This window comes from Homo sapiens, chromosome 7 (assembly GCF_000001405.40).
Source record: "Homo sapiens chromosome 7, GRCh38.p14 Primary Assembly".
In the NCBI taxonomy this organism is placed as follows: Eukaryota; Metazoa; Chordata; class Mammalia; order Primates; family Hominidae; genus Homo; species Homo sapiens.
This window is the reverse complement of record NC_000007.14, coordinates 69,592,651-69,616,896: the sequence shown is the minus strand read 5'-3', so window position 1 is coordinate 69,616,896 and position 24,246 is coordinate 69,592,651. Positions and strand designations below refer to the sequence as shown.

General features: G+C 43.0%; 1 protein-coding gene and 1 long non-coding RNA gene across 20 annotated transcripts in view, besides 7 other annotated features; one reads left to right on the top strand and one right to left on the bottom strand.

Moving 5' to 3' along the window:
- The window catches only part of AUTS2 (activator of transcription and developmental regulator AUTS2), a 1,195,032-nt gene extending 1,176,610 nt beyond the window's left edge, over positions 1 to 18,422 (bottom strand). For all 17 annotated transcript variants that reach the window (XM_011516010.3, XM_011516013.3, XM_011516014.3 and 14 more), the window contains exon 1: positions 16,935 to 18,422. In XM_011516010.3, coding sequence (XP_011514312.1) covers positions 16,935 to 17,243 — 309 coding nt within the window. In that variant the 5' untranslated portion in view covers positions 17,244 to 18,422. The remainder of the gene's footprint in view (positions 1 to 16,934) is intronic.
- Positions 6,229 to 6,791: an enhancer, noted in NCBI's record as "NANOG hESC enhancer chr7:69075092-69075654 (GRCh37/hg19 assembly coordinates)". NCBI's record gives its function as "activates a minimal SCP1, AML or CMV promoter by ChIP-STARR-seq in naive H9 embryonic stem cells {active_cell/tissue: H9 hESC(naive)}" and the evidence as "EXISTENCE:reporter gene assay evidence [ECO:0000049][PMID:30033119]".
- Positions 7,296 to 8,269: an enhancer, noted in NCBI's record as "OCT4-NANOG hESC enhancer chr7:69073614-69074587 (GRCh37/hg19 assembly coordinates)". NCBI's record gives its function as "activates a minimal SCP1, AML or CMV promoter by ChIP-STARR-seq in naive and primed H9 embryonic stem cells {active_cell/tissue: H9 hESC(naive and primed)}" and the evidence as "EXISTENCE:reporter gene assay evidence [ECO:0000049][PMID:30033119]".
- Positions 17,109 to 17,178: a silencer, noted in NCBI's record as "silent region_18224". NCBI's record gives its function as "represses an Ori minimal core promoter by ATAC-STARR-seq in GM12878 lymphoblastoid cells {active_cell/tissue: GM12878}" and the evidence as "EXISTENCE:reporter gene assay evidence [ECO:0000049][PMID:35858748]".
- Positions 17,943 to 17,992: an enhancer, noted in NCBI's record as "active region_26094". NCBI's record gives its function as "activates an Ori minimal core promoter by ATAC-STARR-seq in GM12878 lymphoblastoid cells {active_cell/tissue: GM12878}" and the evidence as "EXISTENCE:reporter gene assay evidence [ECO:0000049][PMID:35858748]".
- Positions 18,343 to 18,422: a silencer, noted in NCBI's record as "silent region_18223". NCBI's record gives its function as "represses an Ori minimal core promoter by ATAC-STARR-seq in GM12878 lymphoblastoid cells {active_cell/tissue: GM12878}" and the evidence as "EXISTENCE:reporter gene assay evidence [ECO:0000049][PMID:35858748]".
- Positions 18,443 to 18,862: a silencer, noted in NCBI's record as "silent region_18222". NCBI's record gives its function as "represses an Ori minimal core promoter by ATAC-STARR-seq in GM12878 lymphoblastoid cells {active_cell/tissue: GM12878}" and the evidence as "EXISTENCE:reporter gene assay evidence [ECO:0000049][PMID:35858748]".
- Positions 19,173 to 19,252: an enhancer, noted in NCBI's record as "active region_26093". NCBI's record gives its function as "activates an Ori minimal core promoter by ATAC-STARR-seq in GM12878 lymphoblastoid cells {active_cell/tissue: GM12878}" and the evidence as "EXISTENCE:reporter gene assay evidence [ECO:0000049][PMID:35858748]".
- On the top strand, positions 19,273 to 22,093 carry CT66 (cancer/testis associated transcript 66). 3 transcript variants are annotated; one of them, NR_148926.1, is made up of 3 exons: positions 19,273 to 19,663; positions 20,206 to 20,242; positions 20,464 to 22,093. It is a non-coding gene; the product is annotated as a cancer/testis associated transcript 66 (long non-coding RNA). The 3 variants fall into 3 exon arrangements; NR_148927.1 differs by having other exon boundaries at positions 19,273 to 19,850; NR_108105.2 differs by lacking the exon at positions 20,206 to 20,242.

Sequence of the window (24,246 nt, the reverse complement as noted above, 5' to 3'; positions counted from 1 at the left end):
ACACTTTTTTCTTCTCAAAGAGAATGTAATCCTAATACATAAGTATAAATATAGAAGACAGGTAAAGGTGGAGTTCTGATTTAATAAAGTCAGGATCTCCCCTCAAATGACTCAGCGTACCCTGAGGTACCCAAAACCACTGCCCATGAGGATCTCCAAAGTCCCTTATCACTCTGAAAGTCCCCAAATCCACATTATTTCTGTTAAACTCCAAAGAAGAAATATTAAATTTGATGAATGATGTTCCATTCTGCGATTTCACTTACTATTCACTGGCAACTACAAAAAGGACCCTGAAAATTCAAATCATACCATGTCCCACAACTGTTGCATCCCTAGAATATTTACAGCCAGATAGTAAACCTATCTAGTTGTGGGGGGAAAAAACATCCAACTACAAAGGGCAGGATTCAGGGGGTGGTCTCTTTCCAGGCTCTATCACATGGTCCCTCGGCCTCTAGGACCTACCACTGAGCCTCTAGGCTGCAATAATCCCATTGCTTCTAAGAGGGGAAAGGAAGAAGGGAGGTGGACTTGAGACCCATGTGGAGATAGATGCTGTACAAGGGAGGAAATATTTGGGCAACATGGCAGCCACCTGGTACTTTCTTGACTCCACCACTTAGTCTCTTTTTATATCTAAATGACCCCCAAATAAAATAATTCCTGGCTTAGCCTGCTTTGGGCTCACATTCAGAAAAACAGAGGTTGAGGGAGCATCCTAGAAAAGAATTCTGCACAGGACATGAATAGTTGAAAAAAACACTCCTGAGAAGCCAACTGGCTGCAATACTGTGATAGAGGCTTATACACAGCTAAAGGACCTTCTCACAATTGCAGGGAAGATATGAAATACACTCAGCAGACAAGTAAATAGGACTTTTGCAAATCTCTATCATCCAGTCTAGCAGTGCTGAACTAAGCAAGAGTCATCGATTGCAAGCCTGGTGACCTATCCTCTAACACTGTAATCTAATCCTTAAACTAAAGACGATTTAATGCCTTTGCATGTCCATATGTTTTCTAATGATGCTATTGCTGTCAGCATGCTACAGGAGTGCTTCTTGGAAGATGGAAGTAATGACAAAGCACATCATTGGAAAGGCAATTATATGCAGCACTAACCATTTTACAATGGCCATATGGGCTGTATTTCAACAATGTAATTTCCAAATCAGGCTGAGCATACATATTTGTCTGTCCCTAATCCCAGGTACACCATACTAAACAAAATAAGAGTACAGCTGAAATATGGGCAGCAGATGTAGAAATCTACAACAAGAATGCTAAAATAGGCCGGATGCAGTGGCTCACACCTATAATCCCAGCACTTTGGGAGGCTGAGGCAGGCAGATCACCTGAGGTCAGGAGTTCGAGACCAACCTGGCCAACATGGAGAAATCCTGTCTCTACTAAAAATACAAAAATTAGCCAGGTGTGGTGGTGGGCACCTGTAATCCCAGCTACTCGGGAGGCTGAGGCAGGAGAATCGCTTAAACCCAGAAGGCAGAGGTTGCAGTAGGCCAAGATCATGCCACTGCACTCCAGCCTGGGCGATAGAGCAAGACTCTGTCTCAAAAAAAAATAATGCTAAAGTAATGTTCACCTGTAATCAGAAAATAGATGGCACCCACTACCCTGAAGTGAAACTGACACCCATCCCTGACAGCCCATCTTCACACTATGTTTCTTTAATCAAAATCATCACAACAGGGGTATTATAGACCACCAGAGGGGCAAGGAAGGATACAAGGAACAGTTAAAAAGACACAGTTACTATCTAAGGGTTTACAATCTGAGACAGGCCCTAGAGTCAATATAGAACTTGTATTTTACAAATACATAAAATCAAAGCATAAAAGATCACCTTTAAAGCCCTAGACTTTGTGGTTCCTTTTACAGTTATATTTAAATTTCAAAGAACATGTTTTGACTTGGGTCTCCCCAACAATTACAATCTGTAAAATAGAATTCTAGTATGGTATTTCCATTCGGGACATACAAAGGGGCAATTGTGTTTATTGAGACAGTTGGAGAGAGAAAGGCAAGACTGTGTGTCTCAGAGCATGGTGATTCCAAGAAGAAACTGCCACCTCTCTTCATACGGACACTCAGATGGGCGCAGTGGCTCACACCTGTAATCCCAGCATTCTGGGAGGTGAAGGCAGGAGAAGCACTTGAGACCAGGAGTTCTAGATCAGCCTGGGTAACATTGCAAGACCCCATTTCTACCCCTCCAAAAAAAATTAGCAGGGGTAGTGGTTCACACCTGCAGTCCCAGCTACCTGGGAGGCTGAGGCAGGAGGATCACTTGAGCCCAGGAGTTTGAGAATGCCTGGGCAACACAGCAAGACCCTGTCTCTACAAAAAAAAATTAAAAAATTAGCCAGGCATGGTGACACACACCAACAGGTCCTCAGGAGGCTGCAGCAGGAGGATCGCTTGAGGCCAGGAGTTTCAGGATGCAGTGAGCTATGATTACTGCTGCACTCCAGCCTGGGAAACAGAGTGAGATCCCATCTCTTAAAAAAAGAAAGAAAGAAAGAAAGAAAGAAAGAAAGAAAGAAAGAAAGAAAGAAAGAGACGGAGAGTGACTCTTGAGAGAAGTGTGTAACTTGACTGATCTTCATATTCATCTAGAAATCTTTAGAAAATTCAGGCCCAGTGAGGGTATTCTGTGTGTGTATCTTTATACTAACCCCCATTCCTTGTAAATGAATGGTAATGGACCAGTTCTGAATCGTGAAGTCCCAGAGAATGACCTGTGAGGAGGCCCATCTTAGCCGAGGGGAAATGAGGAGGAGCCTTCTCAAAAATGTACAGTACTCTAAATGCAGTTGGGATTTCCTTAAGAAGTAAATCTAACAGTTATATTCATTAGCATACTCTTTGTAGCATAAACAAACCTTAACAGGGTGGAATGGGAAATGGGAGAGAACAATTTGCAAATCTGCTTAGAATAATGAAAGGAAACAATGACAGAGGAAATCAATGGACTATTTGTCACCTGGTATCTTCAAGATACAGATATCAAGAAAAGCAAAAAGAGCTATTTAGTGTGGTCTTTTACCAGAAAGAATAGAGTTCCTAATAGATTTTAAAAAAATACACCTAGCCCTCAAAACAAGGTCTCTTTTATTGTGAAATAGATTCTCAAGACAAGTGCTGCTTCCTAGAACAGTTTAAAAGCAGACAAGACAAAATACTTCAGAATCTATAGCAGAATATAAGCTTATATGCACAGTAATCTGTGAGGGCATGCTAGTCCTCATTCCAATTTTACATTTGTGTTCCAGAGAGCTACTTTTAGAATTCAGTGAGATAAATGAGTGCAAGGGTTTAGAACAGACACTGACATACAATAACCCTCTATATCATCAGCCTGAATCCTTGCCTTTGACAATGGTTTAAAATCTACCTGAGTAGTATAACCCGGGAAAAGGTCAGATTTTATAACAGGGAGAAACAGTGAAACAGAGAAAAAACAACAACGAATATGTTACAGATATATTGTATGAGTGGCAGCAACCTAACTGTAAGCTCCAACTTTTCAAAGGAAATAAAGACCTGGACAATAAGTACTCTCCCCTCCCTAAATCCTATTATTATACCTAGAAAATCCTTTGTAACAATTTTCAGCACAACAATGAACAAATGTGGTCTACTAGAGACCATGTGGCCATCTTTCACAAAATGCATCTGTATGAAAATGAGTAAAGGGATAAGGAGCCCAAGCTTTCAAGTCAGGCAAAAACTGCTACATTTCTTGCCTCTCTTATACTGATCCTGGCCAAGTTGATTTAACGGCTCTGTGCTTCAGTTTCTTCAACTATCAAACAGAGATTATTATTCTTTTTTTCATGGGGTGCGTCAATGGGATAACGAATGCAAAATTGCTAGCACAATGCCTGGCACAAGGCGAATAGTAAATAGCAGCTCCCTCTTCAAAAATTTCTTTTCATGGAATTGTTGTCAACTGTAAATAAGCAATGACTGAGTACCTACTATGCATAGATTACTGAGTGAAGAAAGAAACAGTTCTGAAAGCCTCAAATATCCCCAGAAGGATATATACAGAAAGAGTGCAGGGGTTACATTTAGGCAGAGAATACAGAGAGAATAACAATACATAAGAAATAAAATGCTGCGCAGTGGCTCATGCCTATAATCCCAGCACTTTTGAGAGGCCAAGATGGGAGGATCGCTTAAGCCCAGGAGGTCAAGACCAGCCTAAGCAACATAGGAAGACTCCGTCTCTACAAATAATAAATTAGCCAGGCGTGGTGAGACGCGCCTGTGGTCCCAGCTACTCAGGAGGCTGAGGTGAGAAGATCACTTCAGCCCAGGAGGTCGAGGCTGCAGTGAGCCATGACTGCGCCACTGTACTCCAGCCTGGGCAACAGAGCGAGAACATGTCTAAAAAAAAAAAAGTTTTAAAATAGAAATATAGGGAGAAAACTCTGGCTCTCTCTTTTCCAAGGTTCTAGTCTTAACTCCCAAAAAACACACAGAAAGCCATTACAAAGCATAAAACAGACCAAGGAAAAATTAATAGCACTTGAACTTCCCACCAGATCCCAAAGTAAACATGAAGCCCATAGTGTCACAGTCAACACTTCAAAAAACTCCTTCAGGTGGGCCCCAAGATCTCCATACATGGGAAAACCATGTCAGAAAGATGAAATACCCCCAAAACTAAGAAATAAAGCATTTCTCAGACCTAATCATTTCTCAGAAATAATCCATATCCCAGCATTAAGACTATCAATAATGTACTATCATTAATATTATAATCATCGTCAGTGATTCTGGAAACAACTAACAGCTATAGTTAAAATTAATTCTAGTTTTGAAATATAGATAAAAGGATAGTTTTACTGGACAGTTTGAAGCTTGAATGATTCAAAGTGGAAAGCCACATTGCCAAAATAATTTACAATTTTTTTTTTTTTTTTTTTTTGAGACGGAGTCTCGCTCTGTCGCCCAGGCCGGACTGCGGACTGCAGTGGCGCAATCTCGGCTCACTGCAAGCTCCGCTTCCCGGGTTCACGCCATTCTCCTGCCTCAGCCTCCCGAGTAGCTGGGACTACAGGCGCCTGCCACCGCGCCCGGCTAATTTTTTGTATTTTTAGTAGAGACGGGGTTTCACCTTGTTAGCCAGGATGGTCTCGATCTCCTGACCTCGTGATCCACCCGCCTCGGCCTCCCAAAGTGCTGGGATTACAGGCGTGAGCCACCGCGCCCGGCCTACAATTTTTAAAAAATGATCAACAGAGGTAGAGGCAGTATAGACATGCTGAGTTAAACAGATTTTAATGCTTTCAGATATATGTAAAACTACTTTTAAACACAGGAACCATTTCTGGAATCACATTATACTTCAATATTTAAAAACATTTATATTCTTTCAACTGAAGGTGACCTGGAACAATCTGGTCCATTTCTATATTAGAGTAATAAAACATTTTAAAACAACACAAGTGTCTAACACAGCAGGTCTCAACATTCAGGTGTGAAATCGCACCTCCCAGCACACAGGCTGAATTATCCCCCTGCATCTCACCTGCAATTATCATTTGCTCCCTCCCCAGGTGGCTCTAAGACACCACATATCCTCCTAGGCTCACATCTGGAAATACAAACTCCCTCTGGGGGCCTCATATGCTAAGGGAGTCAGAGAGCACAAAAACAAAAACGTGATGCTGGCTTGAACAACTTCTGAAAAATAACTATTTTCAACAGACATATAAAAGTAATCTGATACAATTAAAATACCCTTATGTCACTATGGTTAGGAATAAATATTTTTCCAAATAAAAAGGGTAAATTTACTTCACAGTTCTGATAGAGGCCAGCTTCTTCCATTAAGGCCAATTCCAAAAATTTAGCAAAGGATATTTCATCAGTTCATAGGGTATAATTAGATGTTTTGATTAAAGCATTTTCCTCCCCTGGTTAACAAGATATAACAGATGTCACTGACTTCCCTAATAACAATGCAGCCCTGCTTTTGGCATCTTTACAATTTTAAAACTGAACTGTCATATAGAAAAATTACAGCTAGGGTGTCTCGATACAATCATGACTCTGAAGTGGTTATGACACGCCTGGACTCCCCAATGGAACAGATATGGAAATCATATTCCATATTCATAGCTGGGAGCCCTCCTTAGCAAGCACTTGAAAACCAAGCTCTGAAATCTGAATGATGCGGGCTTATTCAAATCACCACCAATTATTCCTGGAAGCACCGACCAAGTGAGGTATAAAACCTGAAGAAAAAATGCAAATCTCACAGTCACTGTCTTCCAGGAGCACGGGGAACAGAGCACCGGGAACACGTGCAGGAAACTGTCTCAGAGGAAGCAATGCCCATCTGAAGAGACTCACTCCACCAAAATCCCAGCCTCCCTGCAGAGAGGAGGAGTACTATAGTTGATAAAAAGGACTCATATTTTTCACAGCAAGATTCCCCTAGTGCATTTGATCCAATTTACAAAAATTCGATTTACACCAATTTTGTCAACATATCAGTCCAGAGAGTGAGTAGAGGTAGGCCTGCATTTTAAATGGGAGGCAGAGCCTCTCTGATTGAAGTTCAACTCAAACATCCTGGTTTAACAACTCCATTAATGAAATGAAGCACAGATCTAAAGATTACTCAGCCCCTTTGTCAGTCGCATGTGTTATTTATAGGACAGCGTATCAATCATGTCTTCCCTTTATTATTTCCTACTTTCTGGTCCTAAGCTATTTGGTCTGCCAAATTAATACATTCCATGGCTGCTGCAAATCTAAACAATGCTTGATAAAAGATTAATAAAATAGTTGGGTTCTCTGCAACCACATACACACCCAGGAAGATTCATCAATGTCTTTTTATTTGCATATTTGGCTGACTGCCCCCTACAGCAAATATGTAAGGCACAATGCTCAGGTATCCTGGTTTATGGTTTACATTTAATTCAGGGTGTCAATCTGCTTCTGTTTTAATTACATCCATCTTGATATGTTATTACAATCCCATGAAAACTTCTTTTCATTATATGAATGGCTATGAATACATACACATGAGAAACAGTTGTTATAAATGTTCTGGTTCAGCAATGAACAGACAAGATGCCTTAGTCAACACGTCATGTGGATTTAATATTTTAAGTATTTCCTCGAAGAAAATTTTCGTTGAGCCTTCAACTCCACTATACTCCAAAGTTCACTCACTCCATACATCCTGCTACCAATGTTATGAAGTTGCTCTGAGTTTCCACAGATTGCTAGGCTAAAGAAAATATTTTACACAAAGAAATTATGTTAAAAATTTTACATGGGCCACATTAAGGTCATCTTACTTCCAAATAATTATTTTATCTTTCCACTAGACATTCAATGATGAGAAACCACCCTAATATTTATTTTTTTATTTTACATCCTTATAAAAGGGAGGTGGGAGGCAGTGTTTAAAAACGATGAATGTACCTACAGAGAAAGGCCAACTAATTTCAGGGTGATACACTGGGAGAGAGCGCAGGGAGAGAACAACGCTTTTTAAAGGTTCTTGATATTGTGTAAATCAGAACATTTCTTAGCTGAAATGGGAAGCTTTACAATCATGGGTGCTCATCCACATTTGTAGTAAGACTTTTTGTTTTTAAAAAATCTCCTTCCAAGGTTCCCAATCCTTGGGACTCCCCAGTACTAACTTACAAGAAGCAGACTCCTAGATTCATAGGGTAACAGTGAGAGCCTCTAACTCCCAGTGTGATCTTGAACAGGTCAATTAACCCCTGTGGGCTGTTGTTTTCATTTGCAAAATGAGAGGTAGAACTACATCACTAAAGACAACATCTGTGCCTCTGATGCCACACGGCTTAGAAAGCACATCAACTAGCAATGGCTGGAATAAAATGGATCAAAAGGCTGCTATGAAAAAGTTTAGGTCCTAACTTTAGGATACCTCCTAAAGATTTAGCTCTGCATATTAATCTCAAAACTGTAATTGTCAAGCAATCATAGTGACCACCGTAACAAATGAGGGAGCAGACCACAATATGCAGTAAGACACACTAATCAAATGCTTGTTTCCCTTTTTGCTCCAGTGAAAGTATAATGTCAACTATATAAAATCATTTCTTAGAAAAGCACGGTCCAGGACCTTCATTCTCTTTGCCAACTGAACATGTACAGACAGAATGGGTGGAAGTCACTGCAATTTCTATCATGTGGCTAGAAAACAAGTAATAATCTAATGTTCAATTATTGTGCTATCCACATCTTCATTCTTACTTTTTTCTTTGTAAAGATTTTAACTATAGAATATTTCGCTAAACAACATTTAACCAGCAACCTTTAGCCAACGAGTATAACTGAACAAAGAGATCTAGAAGAAAACAAGAAAAAAGAAGTCTACTTCAACATAACAACTAAGAAATACTTATAATATGGGACTGTAATCTCTTAATTCCTCCTTTTAAGTTCTAAAATATTACTGCCATCAGAAACTTTACAAAAACTTAAAATGAGATTTTGTGCTGCAGACGAGGGTAGGTGTGGGGACAACAAGGAAAATGAGATCCCTCAGGCGTCATCACAACTTGTCCCTGGCAATGACTAAAACTCAGTCTCAGGTTTAGAACTTAGCCACAGTTTGAAAATATCAGATTTCTTGCCGGGTGCAGTGCCTCACGTCTGTAATCCCAGCATTGTGGGAGGCTGAGGAGGGTGGATTGCTTGAGCCCAGGAGTTTGAAACCAGCCTGGGCAACATGGCAAAACTCTATCTCTACAAAAAATACATAATTAGCTGGGCATGCTGGCATGCACCTGTAGTCCCAGCACTTGGGAGGGTGAGGTGGGAAGATCACCTGAGCCCAGGAAGGTTGGGGCTGCAGTGAGCCATGAGCATACCACTGCACTCCAGCCTGGGCAACCAAAGAAAGACACTGTCTCAAAAAAACAAAATAAAAGAAAGAAAATATCAGATTTCACCCATGTAACCAAGAGTCACAATCTATATTTGCAGGCTGTGCTTCAGTTAATAGCAGCCACACAATACTTGCAATTTAAAGACTTTTTGCCAAAAATGAATCCCAACTTGCATTAGCAATTTTCCATTACTTACAAACTGTGGGCTTTTCTCTTGTGACTCCATTTTACTGCACATGGGTTTTCCAGGGCTCCAGAGGTAACAAGGGGGTATGGCACCGTGAGGTATAGTGCAAGCTAAAATGACAGTTAAGTCATTTTAAAAATATTTGTATGTAGTTGATCATTTATAAGGTTTGCTCTGGCAAACAAACTAACTAGAATTCAGACATAAGCTGAGAAATTAGAAAAGTGAGCTGTAATGGCCAAGAAAACTGTGGCAAGCAATTCACCTTTAGAGAGCTAAATTAGAGTTCCTCAAGCAGATTGTCACAGTTCAAATAATGAAATTTAAAAATTTTTGAATTTCTGCGTTTCATACACAATGTCCTAAATGCATTACCTTTTATTAACAGCATTCATAATTTTGATAGCTCTACCTCAGTAAAGGAAGAGAGAGAAAGAAGAAGGATATGAAGGAGAGAGAAAGGGAGGAAAGGAGGGAGGTGGGCAGCAGGTGAGCGGGGAATCTAACTGGACCCTAAGAGAGCCACATACACTAATATATGAAATAAACACCTTCAAAGAAGGCACCAATTCATATGATTTCAGGGTCCAGAGCCCCTTGCAATGGATGGAATCAGAGACCTGAACAGGACTAAGACACAGAAGCCTGTACTTGTCTAGTTTCTTCCTAAACAAGCAGGGGCAGTCAAATTCTAGAAAACTCACTCCTCCCCTCCTCATACTAATAGCATAAAAAGGGCCTATTCTTTGTGACCTCACAGTATGTATTAATTGCATACCAACAGATGCAAAGCTATAATAGAAACTATCATTACTCTGCTATTGTGTTAGAAGAAACGAAGGAGAACACAGCTCAGATTTGGAAGAAAGAAGACACACTTAGGGTCTCACCAGTCTTAAATTCTATGTCCTCTTCACCTCCCAGAGGGGAAAAAAGTCTACATTCATGGAACAGGTTCTGATTATATAAGAGAAAACAGTTCTGCCCCAGCTCACTAATTATTTTTGATCTTCTCCTGTCTCAAGTTTTACCAAATTCATTATCATATTGCTCTTCTAAACTTCAATGATCTAAGTTTTCAAATCTACCTGAATCTTTTCAGAACTTTCTAAAATTAACAGTTGCTCTCCCATTACTAGGTTCTTTATCCTACATCTGCAGCATATTGGGTTTAATCCTAATTCTGAAAGAAAAAAAAAAGTTGCTTCTTGAGGAGGAAAAAAACAGCATGAAACACTTTTACAAAGTTAGGCTGCATTTAGTATATTATGACTACTATACAGGATAGGGGTAAAATAAAATAAAATGTAAAGCCACTAACCCACCATCCTTCACCCTTTGCGTGCACACAGGTGCGTGCACACATACACAAACACCCGAAATGCCACAGACCTTCTCGTCCAAAGGCTTCCAAATCTCGTAGCTCTTAGACCTAAATTATTCCTAATAGCTAGCCTCAACTATTGTTGTGTCCATCTGGGGACCTCATTTCTAATCCTAACATTCTTTAAAACTAAATAATCACCATTTATCTTTGATAATACATAAAACTGTGGTGTAGAAGAGTCTCAGAATCTATCACCCTCAACACTCCTTGAATCATGTTTACTGTTCTGTTTTCTTAACCCTTTTTCAACAGTGAGAACTACAGAACACTACTCTCAGGATCAAAGGCTCAATTCCTAACCTCATAATTCATTTTTTAAATTCACGGATTCATTTACATTCTAATTCCAAAAAAAAGGTGCAAGTAGTTAATCTCCACAATTAACAAAAGCTGCATGGAATCATCATATCACAACGTTCAACCACATCTCACATAAATACTCCTCAAGTGATGCTCTGCCTTATAAAGTAAAATAATGAAACTCAGTAAGTACAGTAAAATACTTGAATTCATAACCACACACACTATTCACACCCTTCCTTTCCTCCAAATTCTCTCATCCCTTCTCAGATCCTAAAGCTATGCATACTTTCAGAAGTCAAATGCTGGAACTGACCCATTTATTTTACAGTCCCATGGCCAAATTTTCCAAAAAAGAAAGTGAAAAATGCAACAGAAACACAGTTCCACAGCTTTTCCTGGCTATGTAACAGCAAAAGAGCGGTTCTGACCCTTTTTTGAACTACCACTTCATATACAGCAAGCCAAAGGCAGATAATTTGAAATCGTTGTTTTAACATCAATGTCAACCTCCTTTCCCAACCAACCTTTTTTTACAGGTTGCCAAAGAGCAGCAATATATGAAACCAGAAGGGACAAAGAGGATAAAACATTGGCTGAAGGGCAGCTTGGTGGCATCAGAATTGGGCTAGTATCATCACACTGAAAGAGCTATTAATGAGAACCACTCACCAATATTCACCTCCTGGTGGGGTTGGTAACAATCAGTAAAAAGGCAGATGTCAGGCAGGAAAGGGGAGCAGGAAAAGACATGGACTAGTCTCCCTCACTGTTTACATCTTCCTCACTTTCACTCCCCTTGCCACTCCTGCTTAAGAAGCAGCTCCCACGCACCGACTACAAGCTTCTGTGCCTGGTTTTCCAAGTCGTCTACCATCAGCCCACTCACCCCAGACTCAGAGATCACCAGATTCCAAGATCTGGAGGGACTTTTTTGGATCCTTTCTAGTATTTCCCATACTGGATTATAGATTACAATGCAGAGAATAAAAGTGCTCTGTGGTCAAAATAGATTTAGGAAATTAGGCACAACACATTGCCTTCTCTGATATTCAAAATTCACATTCACACAATAGACTTTTAATTCTGACAGAACATGGCATCCATTTAATTTTGTCTAGCCCATCAAGTTTCAGAAACTATTTGGCGGTAGATCACTCTGTTTCAGACTAAAAAACAATTTATGAACATCCTGTAAAGCTATGTTCCCTTCCAGCTTGAGAAGCTTTACTCTAAACTAGTTTAAACCTCTCCACTAATGGATAAAGGAAATGATGCTTTTAGAAAGTTAACTTTCAAAGGCCACACTAGTTAGGCAGGCCAAGCCTGGCATGTGGGTCTCCACAGGTCTCCTGCCCCACTAACAAGCACTCTTTACTTACCACCTTTGTACTCATTTCCACCAGCCTTTCCTTGCCCCCAAGTCCTAACCATGTAGCATCTTGTTCCTGTGCCTTCATTATTCCTTTAGAATGCTCTCCCTAGCTCCAACTCCTTCCCCATATATCCAAATCACTTCACCCTTCTAGGTCCCATTCCCCACCCATGAAGCCTTCTGGAACACTTCAGCCTATCTCACTAGCCTGTCTCTAAAAGCCTATGGCGCTTAGTTGATATCAGGCATTCAAGTACCTGTTTCAAAATTATTTCATAGGTGCTGGCTTTATCAACTAAACTACATACTTTCTCAAAACGCTAGATTTATGTTTGGTTTCTCTATATTCTTAGTGCCTTGTACATATTAAGCACTCCATAAATATCTGCAGACTGACAGAAGGCATGTGACTCATGTTGTTTTTTAAACAACTAAAGTGATTTGACCATAATAAATTGTGAGAGCCTATTAACATGGCATGTTATAAGTACACCAAATTCTGTATAGCCCACTTATGCTACTGATGTGTGGGGGAAGCCCTGAAAACAGAGCCAGGAAGTGAAGACCGCATCAAAGTCTTGGTTTGATGCTCTAACCACTAGAAATGAGTCTTCCTTTACTTTCATAAGCCTATAAAGCTCCAATTGGCCTCTTTTCTGCTAATTCCACAAATTTCATCTTAGCTTCCCTTGGTCAGCTGTACAAAAGGAGGCTGCCCTAAGAACCCAGTGCACAAAAGAGGAATGAGGGGAAAAATAATGGATTTGCAAAGTCAAGTTTTCAGCCATGGTACTCACGTGGCTTCCTAATAGACACAACACAGAAAAAAAACCCAAATAGCAGAAAGCCAACACTATCTAACACATCAGGACACACTGATGGTAGTAGGACCCCAACATTCCCATTTATACTTTGCTAAAAGCCACTTTTTAAGAAAACTAGACATCTTATCTGGGGATTTTTGCTCTCATCCTGTCACTCGAAGAATATCCAAACAAACAATATACTATATACCAACGTTAATTCTGCTTCTCAACTGCATAATGAAAAGAACACCATGTTCAACTTTAGCCTCCTCGCCTACCCTCTTATCTTCTATCATGAGGCTCTTCATAATCATACACTTGAACTTCAGGGCACAATTACTCAAGAGAAGTGTCCCTGTGAATATGAAACTGTTTCAGCCAGTTTCACTGCCTATAAAATGTGAGACTTGTCAAACTACCCCTAAAGCTTTCATCATCTCAAAAAAGAATCCAACAACAGCAAAAAATAATCAAGATAAAAATGCAGGTTCTCATTAGGCAAGTTATCACTTTTACTCCAGTATCAGTAAAATCAGTTGAACTGGAACTATTTATATTAGCACATTTCATAATGAGTTAGGAGCCTCTTTTTTAAAAGAGAAGTCCAAAACCAGCTACTCAGAACAAAATCATGGAGTCAAATAATGTGTCCATTAACACACAAAGTATGCTACTCCACTGTTTGCCAGCTATTGCTCTGAACTGGCACAAGCTATAAACCTAGCTGTGCAAGCCAATATTTCTGGTTTCTTTTCACAATATCATACCAGCAGCAGCCTTAATGACATGTGGTGACAACTGATTTCATTTCTAAACACAAGGCCCGAAAACATACTACGTATTTAGGATAACTCTTAGCATCTATAATAATTCTTAACTTTTACAAACACTCCCCCAACACACATTTTTGTCCAAGCTCATAGTTTAGTTGCCTGTTCCCAATAAGCCCTCACATTTCTTGGTGATAGTTCAATAAATCTTCCAGACTGAATAGAGTGGACCACCAGAGGTTTTAATTTAACAATCACTAACACATATGTTCTGACCATCCAGCATGGACACAATGTGATAGCACACAGCCAACAAAACTACCTTTTGCCAAAGAACCAGACATATATGATGATTTCTATTTCCCATTGTGTGTTTTTAATCTGACAAATGTATTTACGGCTTCCCTACAAAAGTTGGGCCTCTTAAAATGTAAACACTGACAGGATATTTGATATTAGTGAACTGTTATACATTCATTTAAGTGTGATAATACTGCTGTGCGGGTTTTGGTGGGGTCTGAGGATTTTTGGAGTCATTATGGTTTAGGGATTCATACAGAAGTATTTCTGTGTGAGAAATATGGATGAGATCATATGTGGGAGAGGAAATAGATGAAATATAGAAAATACAAGATGAGATATGAGTTGGTAGTTCTCAAACCTGGATGTTGGGTGTTCTGTCTACTTCTGTATGTTTAATTTTTTCTACAGAATTTTAAGTAAACTTTTTTAAAAGTTAGACCTTTTCTACCTACACATAGATAGACATATGATATTTAGATATGAAGGTGACATAGTATTCAGCTAACCAAAATATCCTGGATTTTAATCTAGAAAAGTAGCAGAAAAAAATAATCAGAGCAAAGAAAGAAATGGTATTAACTGTACATTTTGAACTTGGTCTGCTTTTAAAATTACAAGTTTTTTAGGCACAAAATAAATTAAAATGAGCACATTTTCTCGCAAAAGCCAAATAAATAGATATATATCACAAGCCCAGTCAAATACCTATTTGTTAAAAATAAAACCATCAAAAAGAACTGCATAAGTGAGATATACACACACACACACACACACACACACACACACACACACACACACACACACACATATATATATATATATATATACACACACACATATATCCCTACTTGTCCTCCAAAAATGTTCGTGGGAATCCAGTGGCCCCTCTTGATTGCTGAGCTCAGGATAACCATGCAGAAAGCAGAACCACTTGTAACCAGCTCTTACAAGTACTTTCCAAAACAACCACAGACAGCAATGATGAACCAAATTCCAAGCAGCATGTTCTAATAGGAACATGCTGCCATTTCAACTCCTATTTTAAAACAAGAGAGAGAGACAGAAAGAGGTCACACTGTATGGTAACCACCACCCACCTTGGCAAACTTAAAGCCACAGTTGGAATTATTCTAATAAGTGGTGAACCTCAACACTCAAAATTTTGGCCAATAAAGCACCAATTCTAGAACCAGAGAGTAACTGATTCAATCACTAACATCAAAATCTACGACCACCACCAATACCACCAACATCACCATCACCACCACCTGCACCACCACCACCACCACCAATACCTCCCTTACTCCCAACCACTGGCCACCATCCACCACCATCACCACCAGCAGCCCAAACCAAAAGCAGTTCACACAGAAAAGGACAACACTGATAGGAAGCCTTCCTTTGAAAAAAATATTTAAAGCTGACACCCAAACACATAAACAGAACCAGCAATCTAAACCTGTACAGTTACCGTATGTGAGATTTAAGCTGTCATTAACAAAGCTTGCATCTGAGCATGTGAAACAATACCATAATAACGCAAAAAAAAAAATGGAAAGGGAAAAGTTTCCTTCAGGAACCTCAAACCATCACATCAGGTGCATGAAACACTATAAGCCAACTATAAACCGTATCTTGGTTTTGTGCTTAAGAAAGGTGGACCAACTCTGCAGAATCTCAAAGCCTTCTGTGTGTGTGTGCATGGTGTGTGGGGGGTGGGGACAGGGAGGTGGGGGAGGAAATTAGGCGGTTAAATTTATAGAGGCCAATGACCAATACCACACCAAAGGAGACAGGTCCAGGCAAAGACAGTTTCCCCCCAACCCTGGACAGTCTCCCCCTCCCTCCCTTTTCCCTTTCCCCCTACCCTAGGAGCCAGTTGGCTGGAAGGAAAATGTGCATTTGAAAATCAACGCTGCAGGTGCCCAAGGAATAAAGAAAGACACACACATAGACACACACAAAGCCAATCACTTAGAAAGAAAAAAAAGAAAACACAAAAAAGGAAAGGGAGAGGGACAATTGGTGACAAGCCCTTCAGATAGCAGCTAGGATTTTATTCTTCCCTCCCACCAGTCTTCCCTGGTGTACCTTTTTCTGTCCTTTAACTAAATTGCTCATGTACACACACACATGTGCCTATGTATGTGTATAGATAATATTATAATTAACCCTTTCTGTAACAGAACCCCATACAGAATACAGAGAGCTATTCCACCCTTCCCTCTTCTCTCCCCTCCTCCCTCCTTTCTCCCAACCAGGAGAAAACGCCCCCTTCCCCAGCTTCACCAAAAAAAAAAAAAAAAAAAGAATATGGGGGGGTAATGGGGGGAGGCGCAAAGAAATCACAAAACCCCATCAGTCTCCAGTCCCGAGGACACCCGGGAAAGGTATATACTACACAGACACACACACACACACACACACACACACACACACGAACATATGACTCTGTAGAAAGCACACAGAACCGTCCACAGGCGCCCCAAACCCAGCAAAGAGACTTCCACCAGCCAAGAAGCCATGATTGGGGAGGGAGAGGAGGAAGGAGTGGGGGCAGAGCTCTCTGTGGAGAGGGGGCGCATTGTTGTGATGCCCGAACCCCTTTCTTTCTGCCCATCTGCTGTGGAGGGGGTGCAGGGAGGGGGCGCAGGGGAAAGGCGAGCGAGGAAACGAGACCAGGCACGGCTTTGCGACTCCCTCCTGCTGCCTGTCTGCCCGCGCCCCCAGCTCCCCCCACCAACAATAAGACCTCAGCCTAGACAGACAGACAGACAGACAGACAGACAGACAGCCCGGAGCGCGGCGAGGGAGGCAGGAGAGCCGGGCGCAGCCGAGTGGGGTCGTGCATAAAGGGAACCCGGGGGAAGGGGGGTCCCCCTTACCTCCAGCGCTTCAAAAGTGACAAAGCTGGTCATGGCAAATCCATCAATGATGTCCTCTTCTGCCGAGGTGGACTCTCTCCGCTTCCTCCGCGGGGGTCTGGGCCGGGACGGGGCGGAGGACGGGGGCTTCCCATTGTCTTCCTTGTCGGAGCCCGACGACGAGGCGAGTGAGAGCGCCCGGGTCCGGCCAGCCCCGCCGCCGCCGGCCGCGCCGGCCCCCAGCCCGCCCCGGGAGCGCCTCTCCCGGTCTCGCTGCGACCGCGACCGCCGCTTTTTGCGGAGTCCATGGCCCCGCGTCGGGCCATCCATGGTTCTGCTGCGCCGGGGTCTCCCCGCTTGCCCGCCACAGGCTACGGCCGCAGCCACACAAAAAAAAATTGACACCGAGCCCTCCCTCCCCCTTCACGGCTTCCCTCCGCCCCGAGGAGGGCGCGGGGGAGACGGCGGCCGAAAGAAGGGAGAGAGGGGAAGAAAGAGAGGAGAAAGAAAAGGGGGAAGGGGCGGAGAGAGGGGAGGAGGGACGGGGAGCGAGGGCGAGAGGCGAGGAGCCCAAGTGTGGGGCTCCCCACAGCACCGAGGGTCGGAGATGCCTGGGAGCAGCGCCGAGCAAAGTAATGGCTGAACACACAGGTCTCCTTTAGAGGAAAAAAAAATAACTCACCAAGCAAGCAATAAATCAGAATAGCGGAATGCTTTGATCAAGAGACTGGGAGGCTCCGGGGAGCCCTCCCCGCGGCCATTCTCCGCCGCGCCCCCCGCCCCCCGAAAACGCCCGCGCCCCCCTCAACTCGATCCAAAATCGGGTCCGAAAAAGGTCGCGGGAAAAGTGGGGGCAATGAACTTCACCCGCCCCTCGCGCAGGAAAACACCCCCGCCGCCTCTCACACACGCCTCGGAGAAAACTCACTCCCAGGCTCCCAAATTTTTAAGAAATGCAGCCAGGGGAGGCCGGGGCTCCGGAGCGACCCAAGAGGGGCGAGACCCCCCAGAGAGGGGAGCATAATAATGCAATCATTAGCGGAAGAGAGGGCGAAACTGCGAGCGGCGGAGGAGAAGGGAGGCGGAGGAAGGGAAGGAGGATGCTGCTGGAGCAGTTGTGGGGTTTGCTTTTCGGTCTTCGAGGGGGGAGGAGAGGGAGATGAAAGAAGAGAAGAAGCAAACCCTGTCGCTGCCACCCGCCCCCCTCCTCACAAAAATATTTTTTCCAGTCCCAGAGAAGAGGTCACCCTTCCTCAAAAAAGGGAGGGGGTGAGTCAGTCAGTCGATGAGGAAAGCAGAAAGAAATCTCCAGCGGGAGAGACACCGGTGTGCCGCCGCCGCCGCCGCCGCTTCTCTCGCCGCCCCGCCTGAGGGAGAAGCGCAGCCGGGAACGCTGCTCTCGCCGCCGCCGCTAACGCTGCTGCTGCTGCCGCCGCCGCCGCCGAGAAAGCCCCGAGCCGGAGGGTGCACGGCGTGTCCCCGGGCGGCTGCAGCGGGAGCCCGGGCACTGCCCCATCCTCCGCCCGCCCGCCTGCCTCGCGCAGCTCCCGCTCCTCCCCCTCCGCGGCCAGCCCACCGCCGCCGCCGCCGCCGCCGCCCGCCTCAGCCCAACCCCGCGCCCGCCCGCTCGCTCGCTCGCTCGCTCGCTCGTTCGTGCTTTCGCTCGCTCGCTCGAGTGCGCGCGCTCCCGCGCACCCGCCCTCCCCGCGCCTCTCTCGGCGCGCGCTCCCGCCCCCGCGGCCCCGGCCGGCGGGATCACGTGGACGGCTGGGCTCCCTCCTCCCCCGCCCCCTCCCCAGTTGTAGAGTGTGTAGAAAGCAAAAGGCTGGGGGCTGGCCGCGCTCGCGAGCCCAGGGCATGCGCGCTGGGGCGGCCGGGCCTGCGCACTGGGGGCGGTGGGGAGCTGTGAGGGGGGCGGGGGCGGGGGCGTGGAGGGGGCGCCCGCGTGGGGTCGGCCGCGGCCGGGCAGAGTTGGCGCGCCAGGGCGTGGAAGCCGCCGGAGGATCCCGCCTGTCGCAGCGGGGACGCGTGTGGGCCCCTGCTCCCAGGCCACTTCGCGCGCGCGCCCCCCACATCCTCCTCGGGACACTTGTCCCTGGATCCTCTACCCCTGGCCGGCCCGAGGCCGCCTTCTCGGGAAGCCCCACCAGCCCCCAAGGGTGTTTTCCCTTGGCTACCTGCGCTGCGAGGAGAGAAGGGAATTCAGAGAAGGGGTACAAGGGGGGCGTCCCTGGGAGGGGGCGCGACTGGAGGAGACAGAACGGGGAGCGGGTGCCAAAGCGCGGGCCTTTGCTCCGCCTGGGCGCAGTGGGAGCACCAACTGGCAGAGTTGGAAACTTTTCCTCCACGTGGCACCACAGTGCGTGGACGAGCGACCCCGCGCCCGGATGACCCCTGGGATTCCCGCCTCGTCTTCCAGCGGGGGACCTAGGGACGCACGGGCGGCTTCAGATCCGGGAGCGCGAGGCCTAACAGCCGGGGGCCGAACTTGAACCTCGGAGGCGGCCGCGGGCGAGGGGCGGGGCCGAAGGGGCCGGGACCGCCGCCCCAGCTCGAGGACCCGTTAGACCGGCAAACCGCAGTCCCTGCCCCGCGGGCTTCCTTTACTTTTTGGGAGTGGGGGGCGGTTTCCCTGCTTTTTCCACCACAGCCCCTCCTCCCGCCGCAATGTGGCTGATGCTCATAAAAAGTTGTATTAAAGAGCTGACTGCAGCCGAGAATCGATCAACAAAAGCGACCAGCCTCTCTGGGTAAAATAGCTGTGCGTTTTTCAGGGCACTGGAATTGATCTATACGGATCAGAAAGACCGACAGCCCGCTCTCAGCAGCCTCTTGGATACGCTTCACTTTCTGTCCAGGCACATAAACACCACGGCACCAACCCTTCGTCCTCCCTAGTAGCCCATACTTGTGGAGGAAGAAAAGGAAAATAAACTGGCATGTATTAATTACAATGGGCCAGGCACCGTGCTAGAGCGCTGTGTATATGATTTCACCTCTTTAGAATACAAATGTGCACATTTTATTAGTATTACTGGAAGGAGGGTGGTAGAGAAAACAGTAAGGACGTGTTTTCTCTCACAATCTGACACATCTATGATTGAGTGATTGATTGTTTTTCATTTAACAATTATTAGGCCTTACCAGGCTTAGCAGGCACAGTTGTAGGTGCTGGGAATACAGCGTTGTACAAAACAGAAAAGATACTGCTTCTTGACGTTCTAGCAGGCAAGCCTCTCTCGTCTTATAATTCCTAATAACAATTTAATAGCTTGTCTTTCTCTTGTTTTAGGTCACACTCCTTCAGCTTCCCCGTTTCTGAATCCCAGGTCTGGATCTTTATGAAATCAGATGGAGAGATGGGGTTGGGGGGACGGGGGGGTCAAGTTGCCAGGAACAGAAAGGAACATCCACCCGACTGTGACAGATGAGCTTTATGCCAGTCCAGGAAACAAAACATTTGACCTTAGGCAAGACTTTTTTAAATGACTAGTTTTTTCATCTGTAAATCAAAGAGGTTCAATTAAATGTTCAAAATGTTCCTTTTCAGGTCTATCCACGGCCTTCTCAACAGATGACTTCAAGTTGATTTCGTGCTTTATTTCTTAAGAATAGTGACTAACCTAAGGGATCTGATTCAATTTATTAGGAACACAGTGCCACCTTCCAAAATTACTTACCTAAGAGGACTGAGCCTGCTGTCCCTGGAGCAGTTAGCTAAAACAGTGCCTCAGTACGGAGCGTACCTGTGTTAACTTCTAGAGTGCTGTTTCCGGCAGCTGCTGAAATCCACGCTGAGGTTATCAAGCTCATCCTACAAAATAAAGCAAGTTCTTCGCAATTTAAAGCAAAAATCTGGGCTTATTTTTAGGGTTTTGGGGGATGTGAAAGTTGTCTTAGATAAGATTCCAGGAAAGCTAAGAACTAACGATGCAATTACAGTCACCTTTCAACAACTTTGGGGATTGGGTTGAGGAAGGTGTGAAATTGGGAAATATAATAAAAGGTATTATATTAGTGACTTTCTAGAGTAGCCCTTGGCAGTCCTGTCTTTAAAGAGTAATAACTGGAAAAAAAAATGAATGATAATACACTGCATCCAAGAACCTTGCCTCTGGTGAGGGTAATTTGCAAACGCATTTTGGGATAATGTTCAGCATTCAATATAATCTTCCCTGGAATTAGCAATGCCTTTTGGGTCAGAGTTTCTTAGGTTTCTTCAGTCATACAATTAAAATTGTTTCTGGATTATATTGCCCATATTTGTTTCTAATTCTCCATTTTGCCTGTGTTTTAACTGCTAGCGATTAATAACTGCCATATAATAAGCTAAGCATTTATTATGTTTCAGGCACTGTTCTAACTGCATTAAAATAATATCTCATTTAATTCTCATAAATTTTGAGAAAAGTTTTATTATTCCTATTTTACAGTTGAGTAAACTGAGGCTTAAAGTTAAGCATATTGTCCAAGGTGCCTCCACTCCTTAGTCATAAGCTAAATTTGATCTGAGTGACTCCAAAACCTGTTCTCTTAATGGTTATGCTGAAATGCCCTTCTTAGAATGATTCCTCAGGAAGTCAAATGCTAGGTATATAGTACAACCACTTTGGAAAACTGGCAATATCTGTTAAAGTTAAACATATGAAAACCCTATGGCCCAGCAGTTCCACGCTTAGGAATATACCAATGTCCCATGTGTGCCAAAAGACTATTAAATCACTCAGAGCAACCCTATTCATAAATAACCCCCAACCAGGAAACAACCCAAATGGTCATAAACAGTAAAATAGATAAATAATTGGTGGTATATTCATACAACAGAGTACATTCTACCACACTAAGAATGAACAATCTGCTTCCAAATGCAGTAAAATATATGAACCTTACAAATGTGCTAAGTGAAAAAAGGGAGATGTACAATTGCGGGACTCCATTTATGTGAAGTACAGAAACAGACAAAAGTCATTGATGCTATTCAAAGTCAGGATAGTGGTTACCCTTGAGAGAGAGCTGATGACTAGGAGAGAACACCAATCGGCTTCTGGGGAGCTGGTAGTGTTGTTTCTTGAGCTGGGTACTGGTGTGTTCAGTTTGTGAAAATTCATTGAGCTGTACTATTGATATATGCATCTCTGTGTATGTAAATTATGCTTCAATAAAAAGCTTTAAAATGCTGTGTATATATAAATGCATATGAGTATTGCTTGTGTACATATGAGTACCTATATAATACTTCGTTTTTTTTTATTATTAATGACACTACCCAATGCTTATGAATAGTAAAATAGATAAATAAGATGTGGTTTATTTGGGACATAAATGAAGCTGGAAGCCATCATTCTCAGCAAACTAACACAGGAACAGAAAATCAAACACCGCATGTTCTCACTCATAAGTGGGAGTTGAACAATGAGAACACATGGACACAGGGAGGGGAACATCACACACTGGGGCCTGTTGAGGGGTGGGGGGCAAGGGGAGGGAGAGCATTAGGACAAATACCTAATGCTTGCGCAGCTTAAAACCTAGATGATGGGTTGACAGGTGCAGCAAACCATCATGGCACATGTATACCTATGTAACAAACCTGCACGTTCTGGACATGCATCCCAGAACTTAAAATAAAAAAAAAAAAAAAAGATGTGGTTTATTCATACAATACTATTTGCCAAATTTGTGCCCACTCTTAGTCATCACCTCCCTATCAAGGGTAACCACTATCCTGACTTTTAATAGCATAAATGATTTTTGTCTGTTTTTGTACTTCATATAAATGGAATCCTACAATACATTTGCTGTACAATGGAATACCATATAGTAAACCAAGATGAATTATATAGCATATTATCAGATTTCTTACTGGGTAGCATGAAAGTTAAAGCTTAAACTTGAAATGGCCAGTATGAATGAACTCATAATTCATACCAGCAAAAGCTTAGGTGAATTCTTTGCCCAAAAGATTATAGTTGATAAAGAGTAAAGCTAAAGAAATAATTCCAAAATAGGTTGCTTGTATAGTAGGGAAAACAGTCAAGTGGTTCTGGAAAATACAAAGGGAAAAAGTTACATCTGTGTTCAGGAATAAACTACTTAACTCAGGAGAGCCTCTTCAGTTGTGCTTTTATTTGAATCAATGATTAATACTCAAACTACATCTTGAACATTCAACCTTGACTAGTCAGAGAATATACTATTATAGCTCAGTGATTGAACTGAACTCTGAGCCTCACACTAGTAAAAGCTATTTTTGTATCAGACTTTCTGAATTGCTAAATTTTTATATCCCTCTGTCTTGCACTTTGCACTCTGCCAACATGGTAATTATTAGTACCTCATTCTTGATATTACATACTGGTTTGTAATATTTGAATTTATTAGGAAAATTGATTTTAACTCAAGGCATCTAAGGTTTATGTTTTGGTCGTTTATAACTTTCAGTTATTTTGTGTGCATTCCTTGCCGAGACCAGGATAGAACTGAGGTGGTTAATGGAGCTATCTCTAAGCCATTTCCAAGTGAGCAAATAAGGAGACTAACACATTTAACATCCTTTCTTTAACCCCCATAAGTTGTTTTTAATAATAACTATTCCTGGGTTGAAGTGATAACTTGCATTAACTGACAGGTAGCCCATCAGCAATAACATTGTTGTAACTTTGCCCTAATTATCACCTGCTGTTTTAATTTTTTTTCACATTGGAAGTTGTTTTTCAAACTGCAGTTTTAATGTTTAAAAAAGGGGGGAGGAGGAGATGAGTGGTTCAATTTGCTAAATGTTGTGTTTCCTTCCATAATATTGTACGATAAACTTTCATCATCTCTGCAGGTGTCTCTGATGAATGACACATTGATCAACCCATATTCTTCAGACTCTACCATGTGAAGCCAATGAAAGATGCCTGCTGGTGACCAAATGATGTTCATGTAAAATGGCCATTCTGGCAAATTTAATAAGCTTTAGATTTATTTTAAAAACCAACCAGTATTTCTATCCCTTCTCAAGGCAATGTTTTCTATTTGAGGTTTCACTTGACATGACCAGGTAGGAAAATTGATGAATAGTCATAAGAAGAAACTTTAAATGACTCTTTAAAGCTACCAGTGAGAGATCTCAGTATTTATTACTGATCATGAGTCTGACGATCAATTCTTCTAATAGATTTGGTAGATGACTTGTGATGAATTGTGATTTTTATGTTTATTTGAAGAGCAGTATAAATCTAAACTGGTCAGATTCAGATAAGATAACATCCCAGTTGAAGAAATTATCAACTCTTTGGAATTATGTAAAAAAAAATAAGTTATAGCCCAGACCTAATTCATGCTCCTA